Below are 26515 nucleotides of genomic sequence, written 5' to 3'. Positions count from 1 at the left end.
TTCCTAAGCCCTGGACTGGAGGCTAAGCTGGTACAGAATACATCATCAGTGGTTTCTGTAGCCTCCTCTTCTTACATTGTTAGATTTTTTTATTCTCCAGATCCTCTATTTGACGGGTCAAATAAAGGGCACTTCAACCAATAGTGGTAGAAAAGTGAGGAAAAAAATGGCTACAACTTGCTGATCACACAATAGGAAGAACCAGTCACTGTGCTTCAGGTTTGCCATGCATTAACTCATTCAGGCCTCTGTGAATTTTATGAGATACGGTATCACCTTCATTCTGGAGGCAAAGAGAGGCTCAAAGATGTTACATTGTATGGACAAAGATCACAGCAGCTGTGGAGTTAGGATTTATACCTAGGATTTATGCCCAGCTTCAAACTCTATGTTAATGACCACTAGGAGAAAGATGATAACCTCAAGAGAAGTAATCAATAGAAAGTTAAATGTTGCTCAAGAGACATCATATTGCATGTAAAGTACCTCAATGCTGGGCATATATTAAATATACAATAAATACTACTATTGACTATCATCATCATCATCATCATCATCATCATCATCATCATCATCACTATCAACATCCTTAGTCTTGATAATCCTCATATTGTGTTTCTAGATCCTGAAACTCACATCTGAGCAAATTCTGGGCATCCTTTATCTGATATAGTTTAGAGAAATACCCTCTCAGAAAAAAAATGACCCAGTAGGAAATTTACGAACTGCATATCCTCAAAGCTGCATTTAGACTCAAATGATCTGAAAATTACTACTGAAGTCTATTGCTTTACATTTTAAATGTTTTCTAGTGAATTAGTTTTGAGACTTGGAAATTGCAGAGACTCAAAAAAGTTGTTTTCCAGATTCTAAACTGGAATTAAGCACATCCAAGTCTTCTGGTACTGTAATGTTCCTAGTTTCTGAAACACTTAGATCTAGTTCTGCCTGTCTTTCTCGGCATTTCTCAGTTTTCACTCACATAAGTACAAATTTGTAAGATCCATGCCATCTTTCACCAACACTGGCCTCACTGCCAGGAGAAAGAAGCTGGAACAAGGCTGCAGTGAGTGCAAAGCAGTGGCAAACATTCAGGAAAACAAACGAGACAAAGGTCTGAAGTTGACCACCACCAGATTAGCTATTTTCTGTGGTGAACACTGAGACATGAGCCACGAGAGAAGGAAGCAAACCCATCCTTCCTGTTGCTAAACGTGGTCACTGAAATGGTGAGGAGGGCCAACAGGTCTCTGAGAGGGAGACTGATGGGAAGAGGCAGCCTTCAGGAATGTGACTGATGGAAGGTTCATAAGACCAAGGCCCAGGAGCACAACAGTGACTGTAGGGCCTCAACAAGAAAGATCAACAGGCAAAAATGTAATGCTAATCACTAACCTTTTCAGTGTTTCCAAAATCACTGTATATTCAAATTCAAATTGAAAGTAATTTAAAAGTGTCTATCATGTACCAGGCCCTATTCATGTTACTTTCATATATATTAATTTCTTTTTATCCTTCTAACAACGAAGTCTGTTAACCATATATTGTTGTCAACACTTAACATTAAAAAAAAGATAAGGGTTTCTATTTTTGGCGATGGTGGAAGAATTTGTTGCATTCTTACTCTCATGAGAATAATCAAAAAAGCTGGATAAGCTTAAAAAAAAGGAAACCTAAAAACTACTTGAAGGCATTGGAGAACTCCCAAGACAGCTAGGACTTGGGAGGCCAAGACTGATTCTAAAAGGTAGGTAGGTAAGCACACTGAACTGAGCCCAATATTCTGTGGCGTTTTTTCTCTCCAAGTCATTTGCTAATTCACAAGTGGCACAGAATCAAATGCTAAGAAAATGAGCAGAGTGCAGTGGCAAAGAGACTTGGAGGCTGAGCAGAGATTCTGACATTCTCACAGGGATGGGAAGATAGGAATTGGAGTTGAGAACCTGCTAAGGAAGAAGGGACTCGTAAACAACACAGACTCTCAGTTAGAATCACAGAAAGGTTACCCTCTAGGAGTAAGAGTAAACTAATACACTACCCCTCACATAACTAAAATCCAGCTTCTAGTGATCTCAATCAAAGACTGCATTAAGGCAATGTGTCCCTTAATGGGACATATTATTAAATACATCTTCTCTGAAGAAAGGTATCATCAGCCTGAGATTTCTACAGCTTTTCAAGGACTGTGTCTAGCATTTGATCAAAAATATGCATACCAGGAGATAAGACCAAATGACTAAAGTGAAGAAGAAAATCAAACAATATGAACAGACCCACAGTTCAGATAGTGACATTATTCAGATAGTGACATTATTAGACATGGTTCTTAAAATAACTGCAATTAATTTATTCAAGAAAAAAGATAATATGATGGAGAATTTCATCAGAGAAGTAGCATCTCAGGGTAAAACAAACAAATAGACACCTAAAACTGAAAATTACAATAACTAAAATTAAGTGCTCAACAGAAGGGTTTAATAGAAGACTGGACACAGCACACAGGCAAGAGTAGTAAATCAGAAGACAGAGAACTCAAAAACCAGACTGCATCACAGAGAGAAAACCAGAAACGAACAGAGAGCAAGACGCATGTACAGAAAGGTCAAATATTTTTGCTTTATTGGATCCCAGAAGGAAGGGAGAGAGAGAGAAAGACAGAAGAAAATGGAAGACGAGGAGGAAGACAAGAGGAAGAAGAGGAGAGGAAGAGGAGCAGGAGGGAACAGAAACAATTCTGAAGAGGTGTGACCAGCTGAGAATTTTTCAAAGATGATGAAGAACACTAAAGCACAGATTTAAGAAGCTCTGCAAATCCTAATCAGGTTTAAACATACCTCCCTGCCAACACACGCTCACAGACACATCACAGTAAAACTGCTGAAAACCAAGACAAAAAGGAAAAAATTTAAGGCAGTCAAAGAAAAATGATACATTACAGGTTGAGTATCCCTTATCTGAAAAGTCTGGGACCAGAAGTGTTCTGGATTTTGGATGTGTTTGGATTTTAGAATATTTGCATTATATACTTATTGTTTGAGCATTCCAAATCTAAAAATCCAAAATCCAAAGTGCTCCAATGAGCATTTCATTTGAACATAATGTCAGTGCTCAAAAAGTTTCAGATTTCAGAAAATTTAGGATTATGGATTTTCAGATTTGGAATGTTCAACCTGTATCTTCAAAGGAGTAAGTTGTCTGACAACAAACTTTGATAAAAACATTGAAAGTTAGAAAACAATGGAATGATATCTTTAATATATTAAAAGAAGAAAAAAATCACTGGCAATTACATACCTAGAGAAAATATCCTTAAAAATAAAGATGAAATAAAACTGTTTTAAAACAAATAAAAACAGAGAATTTGCCACATTACAAAAATACTAAAGGAAATAATTAAGGAAAAAAGGAAAAGTATTCTGGGAAACACAGATATTCAGAAAGGAACAAAGAGAAAAAGCAACAGTTAAAATAAATGCTTACCATATAAACAGTAATTACAGTGTATTGTTTGGCTCAAAACATCTGTAGATTTAAGATACATGAAAACATAGCCTAAAATCTACAAGATTGACAAAAAAAGGAGAAAATAAAAATTATAAATATCAGGAATGAAACAGAGGATATCACTACAGAATATGCAGATCAATAAGATACTAACAATATCAGATCAATAGGAAAATAAGGGAATACAACAAACAATTCTACACACATACATTTGATAACTTAAAATGGACCAACTCCTAGAAAAGTAAACACTCCCACAACTCATACAACATGATATAATTTGAATAGCGTTACAGTTATCAAGGACATTGAATTCATAATTAAAAACCTCATAAAAAAGAACTCTCCAGGCCCAGATGATTTCACTGGAAAATTCTAACAAATGTTTAAAGAAAAATTAACATGAGTTCTACACAATCCTTTCCAGAAAAAGAAGGGGAGGTAATACTTTCCTTACACATTCAATGAAGACAGCAATAAATATTAGCAAATGAATTAAATATATATAATTATTAAACGATTTATTAAATTTATTAAATTTATGATAAATTATTTCATAATACAATATTAAATTGATTATTCAATTTAATATTTATTAAATTATATTTAACTGAGTATTTATTAAATGATTATATTTAATACAATTAAAAATATATAAAATAGTTACATACTATGACTACATTTAATTATATACTATGACTAGAAATAATTATATACTATAATAAATTAGTTTTATTCTAGAAATGCAAGGCAGGTTCAATGTTTGAAAAGTGATCAATGTAAACCAACATGTTAACAGCCTAAACAAAAAAAAATCACAAGATCATATGAACTGAAGTGGAAAAAGCATTTGACAAAATTCATGCTCATTTATGATAAAACCTCTCAGAAAACCAGGAATGAAGAGAAACTTCTTCAACTTGATAAAGACAGCTACAAAAAACTTATAGCTAACAGTACACTCAACAGTGAGAAGGAATGTTTTCTTTCAGGAAAATGTCAAGAAAGTTCATTTTTACCACTGTGGCTCAACATAGTACTGGAGGTTCTAGCCAGCACAATGAGGCAAGAAAAGGAAATAAAAAGCATACAGATAAGAATGGAAGACATACAACATATGTTCACACAAAAGCATGTAGGTGACTGTTTATAGCAACTCTGTTTGTAATAGCCATAAACTGGAAACAACCAAAATATCCAGGAACAGATGAATGATTAAGCAAATGGTACATCCATAGCATGATTAAGCAATGGTACATCCATACCATGGGTTAACCATATCCAATATGATTAAGCAAATAGTGCATCCATACATGGGTTACTACTCAGAAGTAAGAAGAAATGAACTAGTGATACCCACAAAACTTGGATGGATCTCCAGGGTGTGAAAAAAGCCACATGCTTCAAAAGGTCACATGCTACCCCATTTATGTGATTCCATTTAGGTAACATTCTAGAAATGACAGAATTATGGACAGAAAACAGATGAGGGATTGCCAAGAGTTAGGGATGGGGAAAGATGTGTGACTGTAAAGGAGTAGTATGAGGGATGTCTTTGTGGTGATGAAAATAGTTCTATATCTTGACTGCAAAAATGGTTACGTGGATCTACCTGTGTGACAAAATGGCACAGAACTATGCACATGCATTGTACCAATGTCAAATTCCTGGTTTTGATATTGTACTACGATTATGTAAGATGTAACCACTGGAGAAAATTGGGTGAAGGGTACAAGGAACTTCTCAATATTTTATCTGCAACTTCTGACTCTAGAAAAATTTCAAAATAAAAAGTTAAAAATAACTATATAACTATATATAACTATGACTATATAATAATTATAACTATATGGTTACAGAAAATGTAAAGACAAATATATGAAGTTATTTGATAAGAACTGTCATCCAAATGGAAAAAAAAAATCTACTAAAGTTGAGAATTAAGAACATTTTGTAATTCCCTACCCAACTTCAAAGTTCACTAACAGGGAATGAATCGCAATCTTAATGACAAAATGGTGTAAATGCTCACATATCAGCATATATTACATTAGCTTAAACTTAAATGGTGCTTATTAACTGCCAGCTGCTGTTTTTCTGTTTACATATATGAACTCATATATGTAATCTGTCCTTTGGAATCTGTTCTTAGCATCAGCAAAGATTGTATAATGAAAAGGTATGTGGCTTAGCCTAAGAGATTAATGCAAATCCTTGTAATAACACTCTGATGTAGGTACTACGATTATGCTCATTTTACAGATGTGGAAACTGAGCCAGAGAGATGGTAATAATTTCCGCAAAGCCACACAACTATACTGAGTGGCAGAGCCAGGTTTTAAATCAAGAAGGTTTGGCTTTAGAATCTATGGCCTTAACTGCTAAGCTGTCTCTTCTATACAGATTTTCCTTTATTGTCTTCCTTTGTTCTATCTCCTGGCTCTTAAACCACAGTGTAAATAAATACTAATTAATATAAATGTTGTATATAATATCATACACACTTTGCTTAAAGGGTAGTTTAAGGGATTTTCAAGGGTAATTTTGACTGTGAGCTATTCTTATCTTGTGTTTGACTTTAAAGACTAACCTTCCCTGTAAGATGTGACTACACCTTAAGCTCTTGGTGTTAAGTGTGCGTGTGACCTGACTGGCATTTTTGGGGCTTGGTTTTTCGTGAATAAATCAGTAGAGGGCATAGTATATGGATATCCTGTCAGGTTTTCCTCTAAGAATGAGCATGGCTTGAGCCTAGGCCCCCTACTGAACTTGACATAGAAAATCTTCTGCATCTACATGGAAGAGAATATCCTTCTTAGTGTGGTATACAGAAGTCTTGACAATTTGGAGAGTGAGAGGCTGAGTAACGGCCAAGTTTGGGAAAATCCAGAGTGCTTGCTCAGGATTGACTGAAGTCTGTGCAAAACAATGGCTCCTGAATTCCATTTCTGGATGGGTTCATACCAATCCTCAGTCAGCTTTCCAGAAGAGAGGATATTTCACAGCATATAAATATTAAAACGTCTCCTTAAAATGTTGGATAATTATGAGTATACCATTAAAACTATCTTTTCCGGCCCTTTTTCATCCCACTGATTATTTATTGTTTGAAAAGATAAATACAGAAAAGCAATTGACCTAACAATGGCCTATTCTTGATTACACTTTGCATTAAATACAAAAATTATAAGGAGGGCACTTTGGAATCTGTCCTTAGCATCAGCAAAGATTGTATAATGAAAAGGTATGTGGCTTAGCCTAAGAGATTAATGCAAAGCACAGGTCACAAGAGGCCTGGAGTAAGTGTGGCAGATCCACACAAATCTAGCACTACTACAGAGAAGTAGGTCAAAGCCCAAGGCTTCTGATATACTTTTGTACCCCGCAGCCTTGAGTAGGGTGCTTTGCACAAAACATACATATAATTTTTTTAATGGGATGAATGAATCAGTTAATGAATGAATAAATGAGGGAGAAAGGGAGGAAGGGAGAAATATCTGGCAGGTCAGCAGCAGCATGCATGCTATTTGCACATGCTTAGTAGTTTCCAACATTTTTGACTGCAATCTACTCTGAGAAATGCATTTTGCATCATGTGCCAATACTCAGCTATACACATACCCTATGTCCACATTTTACATACATGTACAACTGCAACAAAAATACAAAACAATGCTTAATTACTTACAGTATATGTAATGCTCTTTCTTTTTCCTTTATATTCTATTAACAAATATTCATTGATCACACTACATTGATTTTAAGAGGTACTAATAGGGTGTAACATGAAGTTTGAAAAACCTTAGCATGGCTGGAAGCTCATGCATGAGTTTTGGAGTAAGACTTGGGTTGAAACCTTAGCTCTGCCGACTTATTATCTGTGTCACCATAGGTAAGTTTCATAATTTCTCAGAGCCTCTAGTTTTTCATCGGTGAAATAGATTCCTACTCCACAGGATTTCTGTCATCTTTCTAAAGCACACATCTGAACATGCCAACCCTACTTTAAGCGTTCCCCATTGCCTTGGGCTAAAGTCTAAATGTTTTATCTTAGATTATCTGGCCTTTAACAACATGGCCTGTGCTAACTTTCATCTCTGGCCTCCAGCTGGCCCTGACTTACACTCTACACTCCAGCTCTTCTAATATATGTGGTTTCCTAAACGTACCATGTTTTCTCTGTGGGCCTTTGTGCATGCCCTTATACCCACTCAGTTTCTAGTTCTTCTTTAGGTCATAATATGGATTCCTTCAAGGAGCCAGATCTGCATTCAAGCATCTCTGGCTCACCCTTATCATATCATAGCATAACACTGTTATTATTCCAGATTGTCAGCTGCATCTCTCTGGAGGGCAAGAAACTCTGGGTTCTGTGCCATTCTCTTTGTGTTATTTTATGTCGAAGTGAAGAAATTCTGCATATACCTTCCAACCTCTTCTTAGTAAACAGAATTAGTTAGATGAATATATCCTAAGGATCAGGTCATTTGTTTGAAAAGCATCCCGGTCAATGCTTAAATGCTTAAATGACAGCTTTAATAAATCAGGGTAACCCTTTGGCAAACATTCCTCAAACATGCCCATTTACCCCCAGTGGTTGAGGATGGGGGGAAGGGGCCTTGAAAATGGATGGTCACTGAGTACAAACCCTCTTTGCCTAGCTCATGCATAATAAAGGAGGAGATTGTCTACATCTGTCACCCCTGGACACTGACAATTTAGGCAGATATAACTAGTATAGTCCCAAGGGTAGGGCTCTCAGACGACGGGAAAAAAATTAATGAGAACATCAAGTTTTAAAGAGATGGGATGGAGGAAAGTAGAGTTAATGGTATATCAGTTACTATTAGCATTTATCTGGTCACAGAGATTCTTTCATTAAGAGATTTCTCATTATTGTTTAAAAGTCACTTAAAAATTGATGGTAATATGTTCTAAGAAAAAAAATCTGATTGCTTTGTTCAATTGATGAGTTAACTCTCTACGGAAATGGCATTTATCACTGGGATTCCCACATTGAAATGTGATCACTTTTGTTCACTTGTAAAAACTAAAAACAAATCTCTAAGTAATCTACTGTATTCACTGTTCAAGTCCCTACACACAGCCACACGAAGTCATGAGTCAGAGGTGACAGACAAAATGCTATTAAACTAAAATAAAATTAACTGGAAAACTCACTAGAGAGAAAGAGACTGGGGACAAACACCAACAGAGGTATGAGCTGTACATGACAATGCTATGGCTCAATGAAATGCTGAATCTCTGAAATTAACAAACTGTCGTGACAAAGAGATATCAACTATCCTACATTGCCCCAGTGATACAAGATATGTTCACATCCAGCTGTTCACACAGCTACAAAGCTTCCTGTTAATGCTTTTTCTATCCCTCATTGCCCTTATTTTAGCATTCCCAAAGCACATGCTTTTTCAGTGGTCATGAAAATTAGGAATGTATGTCCCCCAGTTGCCTCTAGGAGTTATTTAGACAGAGCGGTGGAAGGGAGGTGGGGATGGTTAATGGGTACAAAGAAATAGTTAGAAAGAATAAGCAAGACCTAGTATTTGATAGCACAACAGGGTGACTCTAGTCAATATTAATTTAATTGTACATTTAAAAATACCTAAAAGAGTATAATTGGATTGTTTGCAACACAAAGGGTAAATGCTTAAGGGATGGAGATCCCATTTTCCATGATGTGATTATTATGCATTGTATGCCTGTATCAAAATATCTCATGCATCCCATAAATACATATATATATATATATATATACCTATTACATAATCACAAAAATTAAAAATAAAAAATGTAAAACAAGTTGTTCAGGCTGAAATATTTCTGCCTTAGCTATAAAAGAGGGTCTACATAATAAGGATAGCCTCTCACAGGGAGTTAATAAGAATATATTTGACGAAAGTACTATATACTATGAATCTATAACTTTTGCATTATTAAAGGGAACTGAAAAAAAAGAGAAAAGACATCTAAAGGTAATCTATTTGTGGTGGATTCCATAGAGTGTCGCCCTAAAAGCCACTCACTACTCACTTCTCTCTTGACTTTGTTTACTGGAAAGTTGAAATTCTATTTTCAACACCTTTTTGCCACTAGAGTAAATCTTTTAATACATTTTTTGCCAATGAGAAGTTGTTGGAGTCTACTGGGGAATCTTTTCAAAGGGATGAACTTGACTAGCACATTCCATTGGCCATTTGCCCCTTTCTCCTTTCTCCCTGGAAGGTGGACATGAAACTTAGAGTGGCTACGGCCATCTTGGAATCATGATGCAACATGAAGAAGAGGCTTTGCCACTGGGAAAGGCAAGAGAGGAAGAGGAAAAAAGGCCATCTAAATTCCTTAATGGGCGAGACACATGTGTATCAGCTGAGTTTTCTGTTGTTTACAGTCAAACAGGATCTGACTTGACACTGTTGTTATTGACAGCTCTTCTGGGACCCATAGAAATTGGACTAGTCTGTTCTGTGGATGATTGTTAAGCCTGACTCAGAACCAAATGGACAATCAAGTGACATGGTAGGATATTGCCTCAGTTCCGATGATGAGCTTAGGGATATCTAATGAGTTATGGTTTGTAACAAACAATTGCCAAAGTAGCTCAGTGTGTAATGAATGCTCTCTTCACTTATGCAGATGATATGACTGATCTAACAGAATCTGCCTGTTGGGCTGGGTGCAGTGGCTCATGCCTGTAATCCCAGCACTTTGGGAGGCCGAGGCGGGCGGATCACCTGAGGTCAGGAGTTCGAGACCAGCCTGGCCAACATAATGAAACCCTGTCTCTGCTAAAAATACAAAAAAATTAGCCGGATGTGGTGGCAGGCGCCTGTAATCCCAGCTACTCAGGAGGCTGAGGCAGGAGAATTACTTGAACCTGGGAGGCGGAGGTTGCAGTGAGCCGAGATCATGCCATTGCACTCCAGCCCAGGCAACAGTGCGAGACTCCACCTCAAAAAAAAAAAAAAAAAAAAAAAAAGAATCTGCACTTAAATTTTTTAAGTTTTCTTGCCTTTCATCTCCTCACTTGCTTTTCTGTTTCTACTTTTTCTTTCTGATGATTGCAATACACTGGCAGGAGTTGAGGCTGGAGCTAGGAATTAACCACTAAATATGGGACCCTGGAACAGATGGACTCCAACAGGTTCCCAAACCTATTATTTTAAATGGTCAACAGCTAGATACAATCAATAACCTTCCTCAATAGTTATATTTAGTTCAATAATCTTCTCAATATATATACCAATAATATGTAATACAGTCTGATAATATATAGTCCAATAATCTTCCTAAATATAGTTGACATTTATTGAGCCTAACACTGAAATGATTTCATTTAATCCACGAATAAACCAGACAAGAGCAGATATACTCATGTCTTCATTTTACAGTGAGAAATCAGGCTTTGAAAAATTAATACATTTGAACCAAGGCCCTGGAAAGATAAATCTATAGTCTCAGGTCTTTCTCACACTGAATGCACTTAACAATTTCATGATTTTTACAACATATCCCACATACACCTCTATTCTAATGGAACATATTATATTGTAATTATTTGTTTATGAGATAGTTTTGGCTATCAGACTGAGTTCCTTGAGAGTCAGATTGCTTCTAAACTTCTTTGTGTGACCTCTGGAACACAACAGATGCTCAATAAAAGTTTTCTGCAAAATTAGTGGATACATGCTGGAAAACAAAAGCTGCTTAACTGGAGCATTCAGGAGCTGTGCGCTGTCTGCCACTTCAATTTTACAGCTGCCATATATCAGTTACTAAGTAAGTATTTAGTAAGCAAATACTAAGTGCCTCTAAGTGCCTGGTATTACATCAGCTCACAGAAAGTGTTATTTTGCATAATTAAGTCTAAATGGACACATTATTTACGAAAATTAGAAAGAGGAAAAATAAAGGGGGCCAGGCGCGGTGGCTTATGCCTGTAATCCCAGCGCTTTGGGAGGCCTAGGCGGGTGGATCACCTGAGGTCAGGAGTTCGAGACCAGCCTGGCCAACACGATGAAACCCTGCCTCTACTAAAAATACAAAAAATTAGCTGGGCGTGGTGGCGGGCACCTGTAATCCCAGCTACTCGGGAGGCTGAGGCAGGAGAATCACTTGAACCTGGGAGGTGGAGGTAGCAGTGAGCTGAGATCGCGCCACTGCATTCTAGCCTGGGCAACAAGAGGGAAACCCTGTCTCCAAACAACAAAAAAAAAAGCGGTCTCTAAGATTCATCAAGAGCAAATAGTTTCCCACACTTTTTTTTTTTTTTTTTTTTTGAGATGGAGTTTCGCTCTTGTTGCCCAGGCTGGAGTGCAATGGCACAATCTTGGCTGACTGCAACCTGCGCCTCCCGGGTTCAAGTGATTCTCCTGCCTCAGCCTCCCAAGTAGCTGGGATTACAGGCATGGGCCACCACGCCCAGCTAATTTTGTATTTTTAGTAGAGATGGGGTTTCTCCATGTTGGTCAGGCTGGTCTCGAACTCCTGACCTCAGGTGATCTACCCGCCTCGGCCTCCCAAAGTGCTGGGATTACAGGCTTGAGCCACGGCACCCAACCGTAATTCCTTTTCTTGTTAGGGTTACCAGAGTGGTAAATCAATGGATTTTCACAAACATGGTGTACCTCGTTATCACTAAGATAAGTTCAGATGAACTGGAAAATGCAGACTAGATAATAGCAGACTAGATTAATAGCTAACTGAAGATCCCAAAGAGTGTTGATTAATGGAGGTCTCGAGTGATGAGTGCTGGGATTGTATTTGACATTGATCAACGATCTTATCAATGACATGGAGGAGCCCACAATGATTAAATATGAGGCTGGTAAAATCTAGGGAATAACAAATACATTGGAGTACAAAAATCCATACTTTAAAATATCTTTATTGGCTACAACAATGGGCTAACCCTAACAAGTAAATATTCAACTTGGATAAAGAGACTATCCCACATTTTAAAAAGTTATTGTACCAATAAAGGATTTTGTAAATTTATTGGGGAATCTTGTTTGATAGCAACTTAAGTGAAAAAAACCAAACATTTAGTTAAAAAGTGCAATATAAGCTAATAATGACAATGGACATAAAAGCTTAGGCCACATTAATAAGTGTAAAGGATTAAAATCAAAGGATACCCAGAGTCCCACTGACTTCTGTGATTTTCTGACCATATCTGAAATATGGTACCCAGTTCTGCATGCCATGCCCAACAAAGCAATCATAAACTCAATAGACTTTAGTGTACACATTCCCCAAATGGCTGCCAAGAGGGCTGAAGGTGTGAATTATAATTTAAGAAGGGGCTAAAACAGCTGGGGGAGTTTATGCCGAAGAAATGATTATACAAGAAACTTCTCAAGGTCATTTGCTGTGTTTTCTACATCCTTCTTAAGGCCAGTGCTAAGCACAGAGCCTGGCCATATGTTTAGAGTTCATAAATGTTTGTTAGTGAAGGTGGTCATAGCAGTCACTTTAAATACCTAAAAGGCTGTTAATGAGGCTTAGATGCTGTGTCCAGGTAGCTCAACCCAAGATCCCTGGTAAAAGCTACACGGAGACAGTGTTTGGGTGGGTAAAAAGTGGGCATTTCTACATCAACTAGAGTGATCTAAAAGAAAAAGGATGCCTCATGAATTTTGTCACTGAAGTATGCCAATGTGAGTTAGGTGACATTCATGAGGCAGTTCATGGAGAAGATGCCTCTGATGAGTGGGACGTGAGGCTTGACCACTGAAGGTGCTAGCCAACTTTAAGATACTGTTAAATCAGCCGGGTGCGGTGGCTCACGCCCATAATCCTAGCACTTTGGGAGGCCCAGGTGGGCAGATCATGAGGTCAGGAGTTCAAGACCAGCCTGGCCAAAATGGTGAAACCCCGTCTCTACTAAAAATACAAAAAATTAGCTGGGTTTGGTGGTACACATGGGTAATCCCAGCTACTCGGGAGGCTGAGGCAAGGGAATCGCTTGAATCCAGGAGGTGGAGGTTGCAGTGAGCCAAGATCGTGCCATTGCACTCCAGCCTGGGCAACAAGAGTGAAGCTCCATCTCAAGAAAAAAAAGAAAGATCCTGTTAAACCATTCATTCATTATTCCAAAAATATTTATTGAGGACAGACTGCCCCAGGAACTGAGGAGACAGGTGAGCAAAAGCAGGATAGGTCCCTACCACCCTGAAGCCTGAAGCTGAGACCAGTGGTCTCCAAAATGGGCTGTATAAACCCCATTTGAGGGAGGAAGAAAATATCAGAACCACTACTCATGTTACAATTTGTTAAAGTCTCATTTTAAAATTAATTTCTCTATTTGGTATATGTCTTCTATGTAATATATTAGTAGGGTAAATTAGTATATATCAGTTAGAAACAAATGCCCATATTTTTAGAGGTTAACACCCGAAAGCAATTTTTTTCTTTTACTGATACTGTGTGCAATCAAACCCATTTGGCAACCTCTAGAAATGAATGTCAAATTGTCACACAAACTAATGCAAAACTGCATTTGTGCTGTGTGCCACATATACCTTCTAGCCCCCTATTTGGAACTGTTTTGTCCTCATCCAGACATAAAGTTTTCATGTTCATACACTCTGGGAGCCCTTTCAATGCTGGCATTGCGGTGGAAAACTAACACATTGTAAACCTGAGTAATTGTCAGGCTTTGAGGGCAGGATTTAACCCATGCTACGTTCAAATCCTGGAAGAACCAGCATTGTGAAAATCCAGTCACGTGTCTCTGTCCTGGTGGTAGAAATTTTTTTTTAACCACTGTCATTTATAGATGAATCTTTTATAAGGCAATTTTTTTTTTCTAAGATGGACTGAAGGTTCAGGGCCAACCTTTGAGAAGCAAGTAGGTATGAGACCGAAGTCGCCTCTATTAGAAAGCTACTATGGACCACATACACACGATCTGTTCCTATGTGACAGAGATATATGGACAAATAGGGTATGTTTCATATGGAGATAGAAAAAAATGCAAAATGTAAAATCATATTTAACCATCACAGGATGCAAGGCTATATTATAATCTTCCCTTTTACAAATAAGTAGATGAGGATAAACCGCCTATGCTATTAAACAGCCTATTGAATTCCAGGATTATATCTCACGTTAAAACCCTCAGTGAGTTCTTCCCCTCAGCGAGCTCTTCTCCAACCCAAACCCTGCCCCACCTCCCTCAGGATAGAGTCCAAACTCTTCGTCAAGGCCGGCCAACCTCTCTCATCTGCCTTTGGTCAGCTCTGAGGCCATCCCATGTTCTCTCTTTCCATTTACCCCTCCCACCAGGTTTCTATTTTACTGAGAGTCTTTCAGTCCCCCTAACACATCATGCTTCCTCTCCCCTCTGTTTTCACCCTTGCTGCCTGGCCCCAAACAGTACCCTGCACTTACTCTTCGGCTGCACTTTCCACACTGTGTTCTCACTGCATGTTTAGGTCTTTGTATTGCCATTGGATCCTAATATCCATAATGAAGGCAGCATAGTCATCTTCCTCCCAGTTCCCTGGTGAGTCCAGTACTGAACTCAGGCCCTGACCCTTAGTGGATACTCAATAAGTATTTGTTGAATTAAATGCATGAAAATAAAAAATGGCATCTTGGATAAGTCATGCAGCTCATGCAGCAGTATTTGGAAGTGGACTGGACCCATATCAGCTTCATTCCCATACCCATGATTTAATCTGCCATTATATGTTGGGAGCCCAGATGGATGCTTCTTTACTTATCCAGGTACTAATTTCCTTAATATGGTTTGGATCTGTGTCCCTGCCTAAATTTCATGTCAAATTGTAATCCCCAGTGTTGGAAGTGGGGCCTGGTGGGAGATGATTGGATCATGGGGGTGGATTTCCCCACTGGTACTGTTTTTGTAATGGTGAGTGAGTTCTCGTGAGATCCGGCCGTTTAGAAGTGTGTAGCACCTCCCTCCTCTCTGTCTTGCTCCTGCCCCTGCCATGTAAGACCTGCCTGCTTCCCCTTTGCCTTCTGCCACGATTGAAAGTTTGTGGATGCCTCCTGAGAAGCTGAGCTGATGCCAGCATCATGCTTCCTGGACAGCCTGCAGAACTGTGAGCCAATTAAACCTCTTTTCTTTGTAAATTACCCAGTCACAGGTATCTCATTATAGCAGTGCGAGAATGGACTAATACATTCGTCAAGCAGGAAATGAGAGTGTGGGTCTATATCATAGTGTGGGGTAGGGAAAAGAAGACTGTAGAACACAGAGATCTAGGATAAAGTCCTGATTCCATGCTGTGTGACCTTGGGCAAGTCACTCATCTTCTCTGGGCCCCAGTTTCTGCAGTAATCATATGAGAAGGTCACTCTAGACAGTCTCTGAATTCTCTTGTTAGCTCTGAAATACTGTCACAGAAGGAACTTCAAAGCTGCAACTTTTCCATTCTATAACTCTGCTCTCTCTTTGTCACCAAGAGCTCACTCCTTAAGTTCTCACCTCTTAATCAATTCTCTTCTCATTATAATTCTCCCTCTGGTCCTACTTAGCTACTAAAACTGTTCTCTCTAAATTAACTGATGACCTTTTAGTGGCCAAATCTAAAGCCCTCTTTTTAGTCCTTATTCCACTGAGCTCTCTGAAGCATTTGAAAGCCTCATGTCTGTGATATCTGCTAAACATCTTTGTCTTTGTTTTAAGTTAAAGTTTTGGGCTGCTTCTTATACTCTCCTGTCTCCAATGCCACTCTCTTATTTCAAGCTCCTGTCCTCATTTACTACTGTAATCATCTCTTACTCTGTCTCTTAGTCTAACCATCTTCTTCTTTGTCTGCCATCAAGTTGGAAGAGCTATTTTCCCAAAACACAAATCCATCAGCTCATTCCCCAATTATGACGCTTCAGTGGCTCCCATTGTCTACGGGATTGGCAAATACATCAAAACCCACTACACACTTGCTACCACGCATCATTCTGGAGTCCAGGAAAAATACCCTTATTCAGGCATAACTTCAGAACCTTTCTTTTTTGTTTTGAGACAGGATCTTTCTCTGTCACCCAGGGTGGAGTACAGTGGTACAATCAACAGGTCACTACAGCCTTGGACTCCTGGGCTCAAGCCATCCTCCCACCTCAGCCTCCTGAGTAGGTTGGACTACAGGTGCATACCACCACACCTGGATAGTTAAAAAAAAAACTTTTGTAGAGGCCGGGTATGGTGGCTCATGCCTGTAATCCCAGCATTTTGGGAGGCCAAGGGGGGCAGATCACCTGAAGTCAGGAGTTTGAGACCAGCCTGGTCAACGTGGCAAAACCCCGTCTCTACTAAAAATACAAAAAATTAGTCGGGTTGGTGGCTTGTGCCGGTAGTCCCAGCTACTTGGGAAGTGGAGACATGAGAATCACTTGAACCCAGAAGGCAGAGGTTGCAGTGAGCTGACATCATGCCACTGCACTCCAGCCTGGGTGACAGAGTGAGACTCAAACACACAAAAAAAGAAAGAACAATATTTTATAGAGATGGGGTCTTGCTATATTGCTCAGGCTGGTCTCCAACTCCTGGCCTCAAGTGATTCCCCCTTACCCCGGACTCCCAAAGTGCTGGGATTATACTGTGCCTTGCCTCAGGACCTTCATTAACACAGATTTCTGGACAGCCACTACCAATCAATAAGTAGCAGCCTAAGATACAACCCATTAAATCACAAACTGACCCCAGCCTGCTTTGCAGCCACTTTTCCTATCACTTTCCTTCCCACCCATGCTCCGTGTCTGGGTGCTTCTGAGCTCCCCTAACAGGCCTGCTCTTTCAGGCCACTTTGCTCTTGTGCATGCTTAATTATTCTGCAAAGAAAACAATTCTTCCACTGCAATTGCTCCTGTCTTACTAAGCCTTCTAGAGCCAGTTCAAATATCACCTCTGTTTGGAGGACTTTCCTGACTAGCTTAGGCAGAGTTAGAAAGGAAAAACTTCTTTTCCTTCTATTTACAAGACAATGCAATGATCCATTTCTACATGTGTTGGTCCTCTATTCACTAGATTATGACCTCTTCTGGCCTGGGACTGTTTCTTAATCATCTCTCTATCTTCCCTAAAGCTTTCTATAGTAGTTGGAACACATTAGGTGTCAAATACATACTTACTAAATGAGTGAAGGAATGAAAAGATGAATGGATGAATGGCATTGCCCTCTAACAGTACGTATGGTATGTTTAGAATTTGTAGGTTCCTGCTTACGGATACTATTAGGGAAACTGCCATAGCAACTCTTCTTAGACTTATCTGGGCACAGGCATATCAGGGAAGTTCAGATTTTCATTGAAAAAGGAGAGTAATAATAATAGTAACAATGATGATGATAATACCTAACATTAGTGAATGCTTACTATGTGCCAGGACAAAATCGGCTTGCTTGAAGACTTGAAGAACAAGGAGCAGGGCAGTCTTTAAGCATAATTAAAGATAAGAGCAGGATAAAGATAATTCTGAGTATAAAGAGTCACATTTTGATCTGCTATCCAAAAATAGGACAGCGGTGAAAACTCTATTGAAAGCAGCTTTAGATCACTTTTAATATAAAGGGGTCAGAGCCAAAAGTAACACTCTTTTACACATATGTCTGGACTGGGCAGTCAATAATTTTTTAAATATCATTTTATAGTGGCTGCAGTTAAGATTATCATAAGAAACTTATTTTCTGGTCACGTCGACATAGATTAGTTAGTAGAGTTTCCTAAATAGTGTTCCAAAGATCTGGGGGAAACATATGCTTTAGGTGACAAAAATTTGGGGGATGATGCATGCTGGTTGTTGGATGGTCCTCTTAGAAACTCAGAATGCATGTCAGCATATTAGGCATAAAAAGACTGCAATAAGAAAACCCGTTCTTCCCAGGCCCGGCGGCTTATGCCTCAAATCCCAGCACTTTGGGATGCCGAGGTGGGTGGATCATGAGGTCAGGAGTTCAAGACCAGCCTGGTTAAGACAGTGAAACCCTGTCTCTACTAAAAATTCAAAAATTAGCCAGCCGTGGTTGCAGGCATCTGTAATCCCAGCTACTCACTCGGGAGGCTGAGGCAGGAGAAACGCTCAAAACTAGGAGGCAGAGGTTGCGGTTAGCCGCGATCGTACCACTGCACTCCAGCCTGGTCGACAGAGTGAGACTCCGTCTCAAAAAAAAAAAAAAAAAAAAAAAAAAGGAAAACCTGTTCCTTGTGGCTTACCCTAGAATTCCTAGAATTCCCCATATGTATTGGACTTGTGAATCCTTTTTTATAAAATGCCTCACATTTATTTCCATGGAATTAGTATTGGAAAATACTGGCTTAAGAGGTTCCTATAAACAGTCCCTCTGTGTTGGGATTCTAGCTGTGGAATACGCAGAGAGGATTGTTATGAAGACCTATCTAATTTAGGGAAGGTAAGATTGACTATGGTTTGGGTGAGAAGAGACTCATGCCTGGTGTTATTATTTATACAATAAAATTCAATCCTCTATGAAGGCTGGGGAGAAAAATCCAACTCTTAATCAATTCTTTGAATTAGCAGTTTAGTTATTATGGCTATATCACAGTCATAAAAATTTATATTTTCATTTTGTCCCAAAGAAAAACTTCACCATCTTTCTTTAATATTATCAACCTGGATGCCTGACAGTAAGGATTAAAAATTGCTCCTTCCTTCCCACTTGGTTATTGGAAAGGCTCTGAAAGGTAATCAGTCTTTTGAAGCTACACTTTACAGTCTGCATAAAAATGCCATGATTTCCCTTCCTCTCCCCAACCTAATTGAAAGTGCATAATATCACCCAGCTGGGGAAATGTAAATGGTAAACATATGCAATATATCATGCCATCACACAAAGGCTGGTTACTAATAGGGACTGGGTGGTTGTCAGGACCCTAAGAAGTCTGGAAAACAAGTCTTTTCTTCATCCAGAATGAGAGCCCTCTGTGCCTGCTACCCTTCTTCCCCACCACCTCCCTCCAGACGTCAAGCTAGTCAGATTAGTCCAAGATCAGTCAACTCATTCCTTGCATGTGTAATTCCAAGGGTCACCTAACAATGTATATCGACTAAAACTCTCTTACATCAGTCTTTCAAGACATGAAGCATTTTACTTTTGGCAGGAGGTGGGGTTGGAATCATCTTGTTTTCTACCTACTTCAATTGTACTGACAGATAGTCCTATTATCTCTCTCCTTAGCTGCTAAACCTAAAGATCTGTGGACTTGTCACCTCTTATCTTTCTCTACTTCATCAAACTCCTATTGCCAAGATTATTTCTTTTTCTACCTCTGATCATCCATGAATATCTATACAGGGTCACCTTTCCCTTGAGTACAAAACCCCCATCTTACTTTTCAAAGGCCCCTGCTCCTCTGCAGCTTTCTGTAATTCCCACTTCAATTACACCTACTTGGAAGCTATCATCTTCTCTTTTCTGACTCTCCACCTCCATGTGCCATGCCATCTTCCTGAATAAATCTTTTACAATTGGTCTCTTAGGAGAAAGGACAATATTCGTTCAAAGTTTTCTTCATGAGATGTCTGTCACAATACTCCTTCAAAAATGGCTCCCTATTGCATCATGAACTCTGCTACTACTATTCATTCATGCCACCTTACAATTGGCTATTGTTTTATTTTTGATGGTGGATATCTTACAGGTCGGTCAAAGGATGGCACTTGTCTAGGGTACTGACTCGTTTCAGTTTTAATTGATTGAAGGAGACATTTTTTATCGGTTTCAGCAGTAGAGATGATTTGAAACATACTGAATTAAAGCTACATTTATCTTTCACTAAGTTTATTACCTGTCAGCTGGAACCAGTGGATGGTATGGCTTGTTGACCTTGGCATAGAGACCCTCTAAGTGGTCTCTTTCTGGAGACAGTGGATGGCCATCCCGAGGGTAACCAAATGGTCCAGCTCGAGGGGGAGATGGAGATCTAAAGACATTTGCTGATGTGCATGGTTCCCGAAAGTGGTTCACTCTGGCATAATTGGGGTCCATTTCATCATCATCCATATCATACACTGATCCAATTGCACCAGTAGCATAATCAAGAAGACCTCTTGCCTGCTTTTCCCTTAGCTCCTGATGTTTTGCTCCAATCCTGAAAAATACAGTACAGGTAGCAAAGATGTATGTGAGTTTCATATAATAATACAATGAAATACTCTCTTGAATTTATGTTAACTCTTCCTCGTCTCTTAGCTGTCATTCTCCTGTTTACTCAAGATCACAGCATGCAGAAATGCCAACAGCATAAGAAGATTAATTTTATATATCTGATCTTTATTTGTTACAGGGTCTTTACTTTGATAGCAATGCTATGGGTATTTTGATATCTTGCCCACTGATGACTAGGCTGATAGTAGCTTCAGAGGCTGTTTTCATTCACATTCCCTCCCCACAGATGGCATGTGCTTGTGGGAACAGTGCATCTTTGGTTCGATATTATAGAAGCCTTTCTTGGGACAGGGATGCATGTTAACAAACTCATCAAAATCCTCTAGTTTTTCTACGACTTCAGTAATTTAGTGCCCTAGAGTTCCTGTGTATTCTTCTAAAGAAAGGAACTTGTGAAAATTGATTTAAATATGAAAAAGAAATACAGAGGCTTTCTGGTCACTAAAAGCAGTGGGATCAGGGATAATTTACAAGAGACTCTAAGTTTTTTGGTTATACAAATGGGGATTATTGTGTCTCATTATATAGGCGCTAGGGACAGAGTAAAATAGTGAAGAAATTAATAGGTTCCTGACAGAGATGAATTGGCACATATAAGTGAATTAAACACCATTACTGGCAGAACTCCACAGTGCTAAAGCCTTAAGTGATATTACAAAATGCTAGTGCTAATCAGTGCCACTGTGCAGTCTACTGGGAATGGAAGCAGAAAAATATACTTAGGTGGATTCCAAATCCATCTGAATTTTGAGAATTTGACATTTAATCTGGAAAGTGTTAAATCAGCTCTACTAAATTCTCAGTAATGTATTAAAATGGAAAGGTCACTATAGCCTCTTACTGGACAATGGTGATCTTGATGGTGTGAGGAGGTCTTCAGCACTAATGAGAAAAGAGTGTAAACCTTGTCACTGGACAAAGAAGGGGCACTGTGTACAAGAGGAGAGATAAGACGATGCTGGCTCAGGCGGCTAAAGAAAGTCAAGAATAGATGGGACAAACTTGATGTCCTGGGCCCAGAGAATATAAGAGGGCTGTGGGCTAGAAGTGAATGATCTGTATATGACTGGAGACATACGGGAGGCCAGGACGAGTTAAAAAAACAACTGAAACCCATCAGTATCTTCCCCTATTCGAACAAAAACAGCTGTTTTGCACATGGAAGCTAGTTTTATTTTGCAAAACATCAAATCATTTGTAAAAATCTTTAGAACGCAGGATTTTCTGAGGTATTTTTCTCTTTTGGCAGAACAACATTTTTGTTTTTTATTTTTCTGAGTAAGGAGCAGAAAAGAAATTGGGCAATTTCAATTGGGAAGCAAAAAGCAAAAAACAAAACAAAAAGAATAAGAAGGCATGAGACCAAAACCAAAACCAAAACAAAACCCCAGCACCTATCCTCAAGTTACAACAGATGAAAACAAATGCCAGGATATATTATTGCATATCTCTTTTGATTAGGCCAAACCTGTGCCCTACACAGAAGTAATTAGAAGAATTTATATTTTTGCATACGGCAACTTGAATTTCCAAGGGATTCTGAATTAAGATGAAAGGAAGATTACACAGTAGGGTACCCGTTAAGGGCCTTGCCTATTCCCTTTCAATGCCTGTTAGTCCTAGATTCATGGATGCTTGTTTTAAGTAATTTTTGATAAAGAAGATAACCTGCTCCATTCTGCAACAAAACAATCTTTCCAGAGACAGTGCAGACTCGATTATCAGAGAATGCTTGCTGCACCCTGATGATAGGGATGGATTTCCATTGCAAATAGAGCAAAGGACATCAATAAAGTTAGGGGGTAGGATTCTGTGTGGTTGCTATCCCTCATAAGTGAGATGCCTTCAAGAGAAATCATTCAGCAGAAAGATGAATATCTCATGGCTGCCTCATGGGGCAATACTTGTGTGCATTAATGGAAGAGGAAAATACTAAGCTTGATTTTTAAAAATCACAGAAATAGAACACTGGTATCTGTGTTCCTTATTTCATCACTTCCTTCTTAGAGGTTTTCTCATTAATTAAACTTGCTGAGTACGTGGAGAATCTCAGATGAAAAGTACTACGTCTGTGCCAAGCAATATTTTATCTTATATTTTTCCTTTCTGAAACAAAACCGTTTCTTTGATACTCTGCACCAGTGAGTGTTTCAGTAACTAATTTCATATTAATCATTCAACAGGTAAAATAGTAATTTCTCTGAACAATCATTATTATGTCATATATCAGGGTCCCTCCATGTTGAGGAGGACAAGGTAATCTCTGAAAAGGAGTGTATGGTGGCAGAAGAGACCAAGACGGAAGTGTCAAGGAAATTTTTTTTTTGGTAGCTTTGACCCTCACCCCCACCCCCAATTCATTGAGAATTTTACTTGTTTATAGTCATTTCCACTTAGAGGTTTCCTTACCACTGGGAACTCAACCTGTTAAAATATTTATTTTTCAAAAGATACCCTTTTTTATTTGACGGTACTACCAGTTTCCCCATTCTTCTGAGCAAACTGCGTTTGAATTGTTTAAATCTCCTCTTTCTCTTTTCCTCTATGGGAACATTGCTGCTTCTTTTCTCCATAACACCTCTTGGGTATCCTCTTTTATTTCCATTTCTTTCATCACAGTCTAATGTTCAGACTTTTATGTTGCCCAGATCTGCACCGTCCAATATAATGGCCATTAGCTGAGTGTGGCCCTATAAAATTAAATTTGAAATAATTCATATCAAATCAATTTCTCAGTTTCACAAACCACATTTCAAGTGCTCAGTAACTACATGTGGCTAGTAACTACTATATTGGACAACACAAATAGAGACTAATTCCATCATTGCAGAGCGTTCTATTGGACTGTACTGGCCTAGATTATTCTGAGAGTTTTTGGTATGTCACCTCATCCCACTTTAATATATACCTTAAAAGGCTCTGGAATAATCTTCCTTAAAGAGTATTTCTGTCATATCTGTCAGATTGAGGATCTCTAATAAGAGATGATAATAAATGATGAAGTCAAGTAAGTGACTCTACTTCCCTCCCTGAAACTCTATGTGAACAAACACTTGAGAAATTGGGAAGAAAATTCTATCTACAGTGGAATTAGAAAACGACCATAATCTCATGCCTTGCTATGAAACTTGGACTCAGCCCTAAAGGCGGAGTGCACCACCAGTCGATATATGGCTGCATCTCCAGCCATGTATACATTTCACTGAAAATAAGGAGGGAGTCTAGAGGGGTACAGTCAATAAACTTTAATATAGTCTAAGGATAGGAATAGGACCCTGGAATTGTACGGTAATTCTTTGTGGGGATCCAGCTTCAGAATGGAGGAGAGGCAGAGACAGAAGAGAGATATTTCCCCTGAGCAGGTCTCCCACCTTAAAAAAAAAAAACTTCATGGAGGTGAAGTAGTGAGAAAAGAGAAGTATGAACCTGCTTTGTATCTGATAGGCAGAATTAGCAGAGTTATATAACCCAGACTCATCAAAATAGGACCAGTAATCTAGGTGACTTCACTAAGAAGTAGGCTGATCTCAGACTAGCTCTCCCAAAACAGAAAACCGTAGAAAAGAAGCCACCAGGGCAGAGTACCCAGCAAATCTGGCAAAAGGGTATTTTGAGAGATCATGTAGAATTGAAGCTGCTGGTAACCTTAGACCACTATGCCCATGTTATTTAATACTATATTTTAGCACAGATTTTTTTTTAAAGAAAATTAAAAAAAACTTCCGTAGAAGATAATATAAATTTAATGGTCATACTTAAATACAGTAAAAGAAAATGTTAGAGCTTATTGCATATAGTAAGCATAAGTGCTGTCTCAAGGAGGAAAATCAAGTAATCGACAAATGCAGGCAAACTCATGCTGGCCTCTAACACAAATAAAAGAAAAACACTCTCAAACATTTGAAAACATAGAGGGAATATGGTACTTATTGACCCATCTTGAAAAACTTATTAATAATGGAAAACAGCAAACTAAGAACTGCATCAAAATGAAGAATTCAACATGGTTGCTACGGCGGTAATGTCTCCCAAAATTCATGTGTTGATATACAGTCTCCATTGTGGTAGTATTAAGAGGAGGTTTTGGGAAGTGACTAAGCCTTTTGGGAAGTGACTAAGCCATCGTGAAAAGATTAACATCTTATAAATGGGCTACAGAGCACTAGCTAAGGTCCCTCTTTGCTATTCCATTGTTCTGTTCTTCTGCCAAATGAGGAAACCTAGGCAGCACCATCTATGGGCAACAGGGCCTCACCAGACACTGAACCTGATGGCACCTTGATCTTAGACTTCTCGGTCTCTTGAACTATGAGAAAATAAATTTCTGTCTTTATAAATTACCCTGTCTCAGGGTTTTGTTATAGCAGCAAAAATGGACTAAGATAATGGTGAAGCTGTGGAATAGCAGGTCTGGAGGTAAGCAATACATTCATTTAAATATAAAACTAAGACTAAATATCTGTGGGAACAATAATTACAGAAAAAATGTAAATATTATAAACTCTGATAATATAAAATATAGAAAAAACTAATGAAAATCACAAGTTAATAAGGAAGTAATTTGGGAGAGAGTACCCTATCTTTATTTTCACCCTTCTTCATTTTCTCACTTTATAAAGCAGGCATCAGTAGTTACTGTCTAAAATTGATACATCAAGAAACAGAGGTTTGAATATATTAAATATAATTACAAAGAAACCACTAAAACCCAAATTTTCAGCAGGAGAGAAATACACAAAATAAACTCTTTACCATATAGCAGAAAATAAAAAAGAGATAGCAGTAAAAAAGAAAGTAACAAAAAAATAAGTTGACCAAATTTATGTTATGAAAATAAATGTAAATGGAATAAATTTCTTTATTATAATTAAAGGATCCCAGGTATCAAAAAGAAAAACACACAAAGTGCTATTATAATAGTAAAAGATGGGAAACAGTCTAAATATGCATTAACAGGGGAATATAGAAAAGTATTATGCAGCTGTAGAACATAGGGTCATACTATTCCTATACTAAAAAGAAGATGATGTATGTAAGGGTGAGGGTACTACACATATAAATATTTATATGATATATATCCTCACATATACATAGAAAATGTCTGGAAGAATACACAAAAAATTCCTAAGTGGTTGCATCTAGAGAGTGGAATTAGAGGTAGCCTTTATACCTTATGTGCTATTTGCATTTTCTATATTTTTAAGATAATTAAAAAAATAAATTTAACTTAATTTTCAGTACAGGGGGTACATGTGCAGGTATGGGTATACATGGTTATACTGCATAATGCTAAAGTTTGAGCTTTTAGTGAACGCATCATGCAAATAGTGAACATAATACTCAACAGGTAGTTTCTCAACTCTCACCCCCATCCCACCCTCCCCAAGAAAATTTTAAAAACTTAAAAAATATAAAAAATTTCCTAACAACTACAAGTTGTAGTGAATAAAAATGTTTTTGAAAACATTAAATACCCTGTACCAAAAGGCATCTTTATTTCTTGTAAACTTGATTTCTCATGATCCCTTTGTCAACTCAGTTATGACAATTTTCTTCAAATTATTGTTCACTGAACTTTTATTTGGTCTCTTTAAATCAACTGCTTTTCCTAATATTACTCATGTCCCATTAATCAAATATTTAACTCTAGTTTTCTCTGGCATAAGGACTTAACTTATTCATAAACAGCTCCACAATGACCTTAACAATTCTTTGTCTCCTCTTCAACTCATACATCCAGTAAATTCTCTATTAATATGAAACTGTTATATGTCACTTTGTAGAAAACAAAACCAATTAAAAAACTTTTATGATTTTTTCTAGACCTTCTGCTTCCA

The 26515-nt window shown here is 38.2% G+C and overlaps 1 protein-coding gene across 16 annotated transcripts in view; it reads right to left on the bottom strand.

Annotated features, from left to right (window-relative positions):
* Window positions 1–26515, bottom strand: part of PARD3B (par-3 family cell polarity regulator beta) — a 1074688-nt gene that overhangs the window by 159192 nt on the left and 888981 nt on the right. For 14 of the 16 annotated variants that reach the window (XM_047443208.1, NM_001302769.2, NM_057177.7 and 11 more), the window contains one exon: window positions 20299–20601. The exons of the other annotated variants lie outside the window; for them this stretch is intronic. In XM_047443208.1, coding sequence (XP_047299164.1) covers window positions 20299–20601 — 303 coding nt within the window. The remainder of the gene's footprint in view (window positions 1–20298; window positions 20602–26515) is intronic. 16 annotated transcript variants of the gene reach the window in all.

The sequence above is a fragment of the Homo sapiens genome, chromosome 2 (assembly GCF_000001405.40).
Source record: "Homo sapiens chromosome 2, GRCh38.p14 Primary Assembly".
NCBI classification, from domain to species: domain Eukaryota; kingdom Metazoa; phylum Chordata; class Mammalia; order Primates; family Hominidae; genus Homo; species Homo sapiens.
Note: the sequence above shows the minus strand (reverse complement) of the source record. Positions and strands in the feature narration are given on the sequence as shown.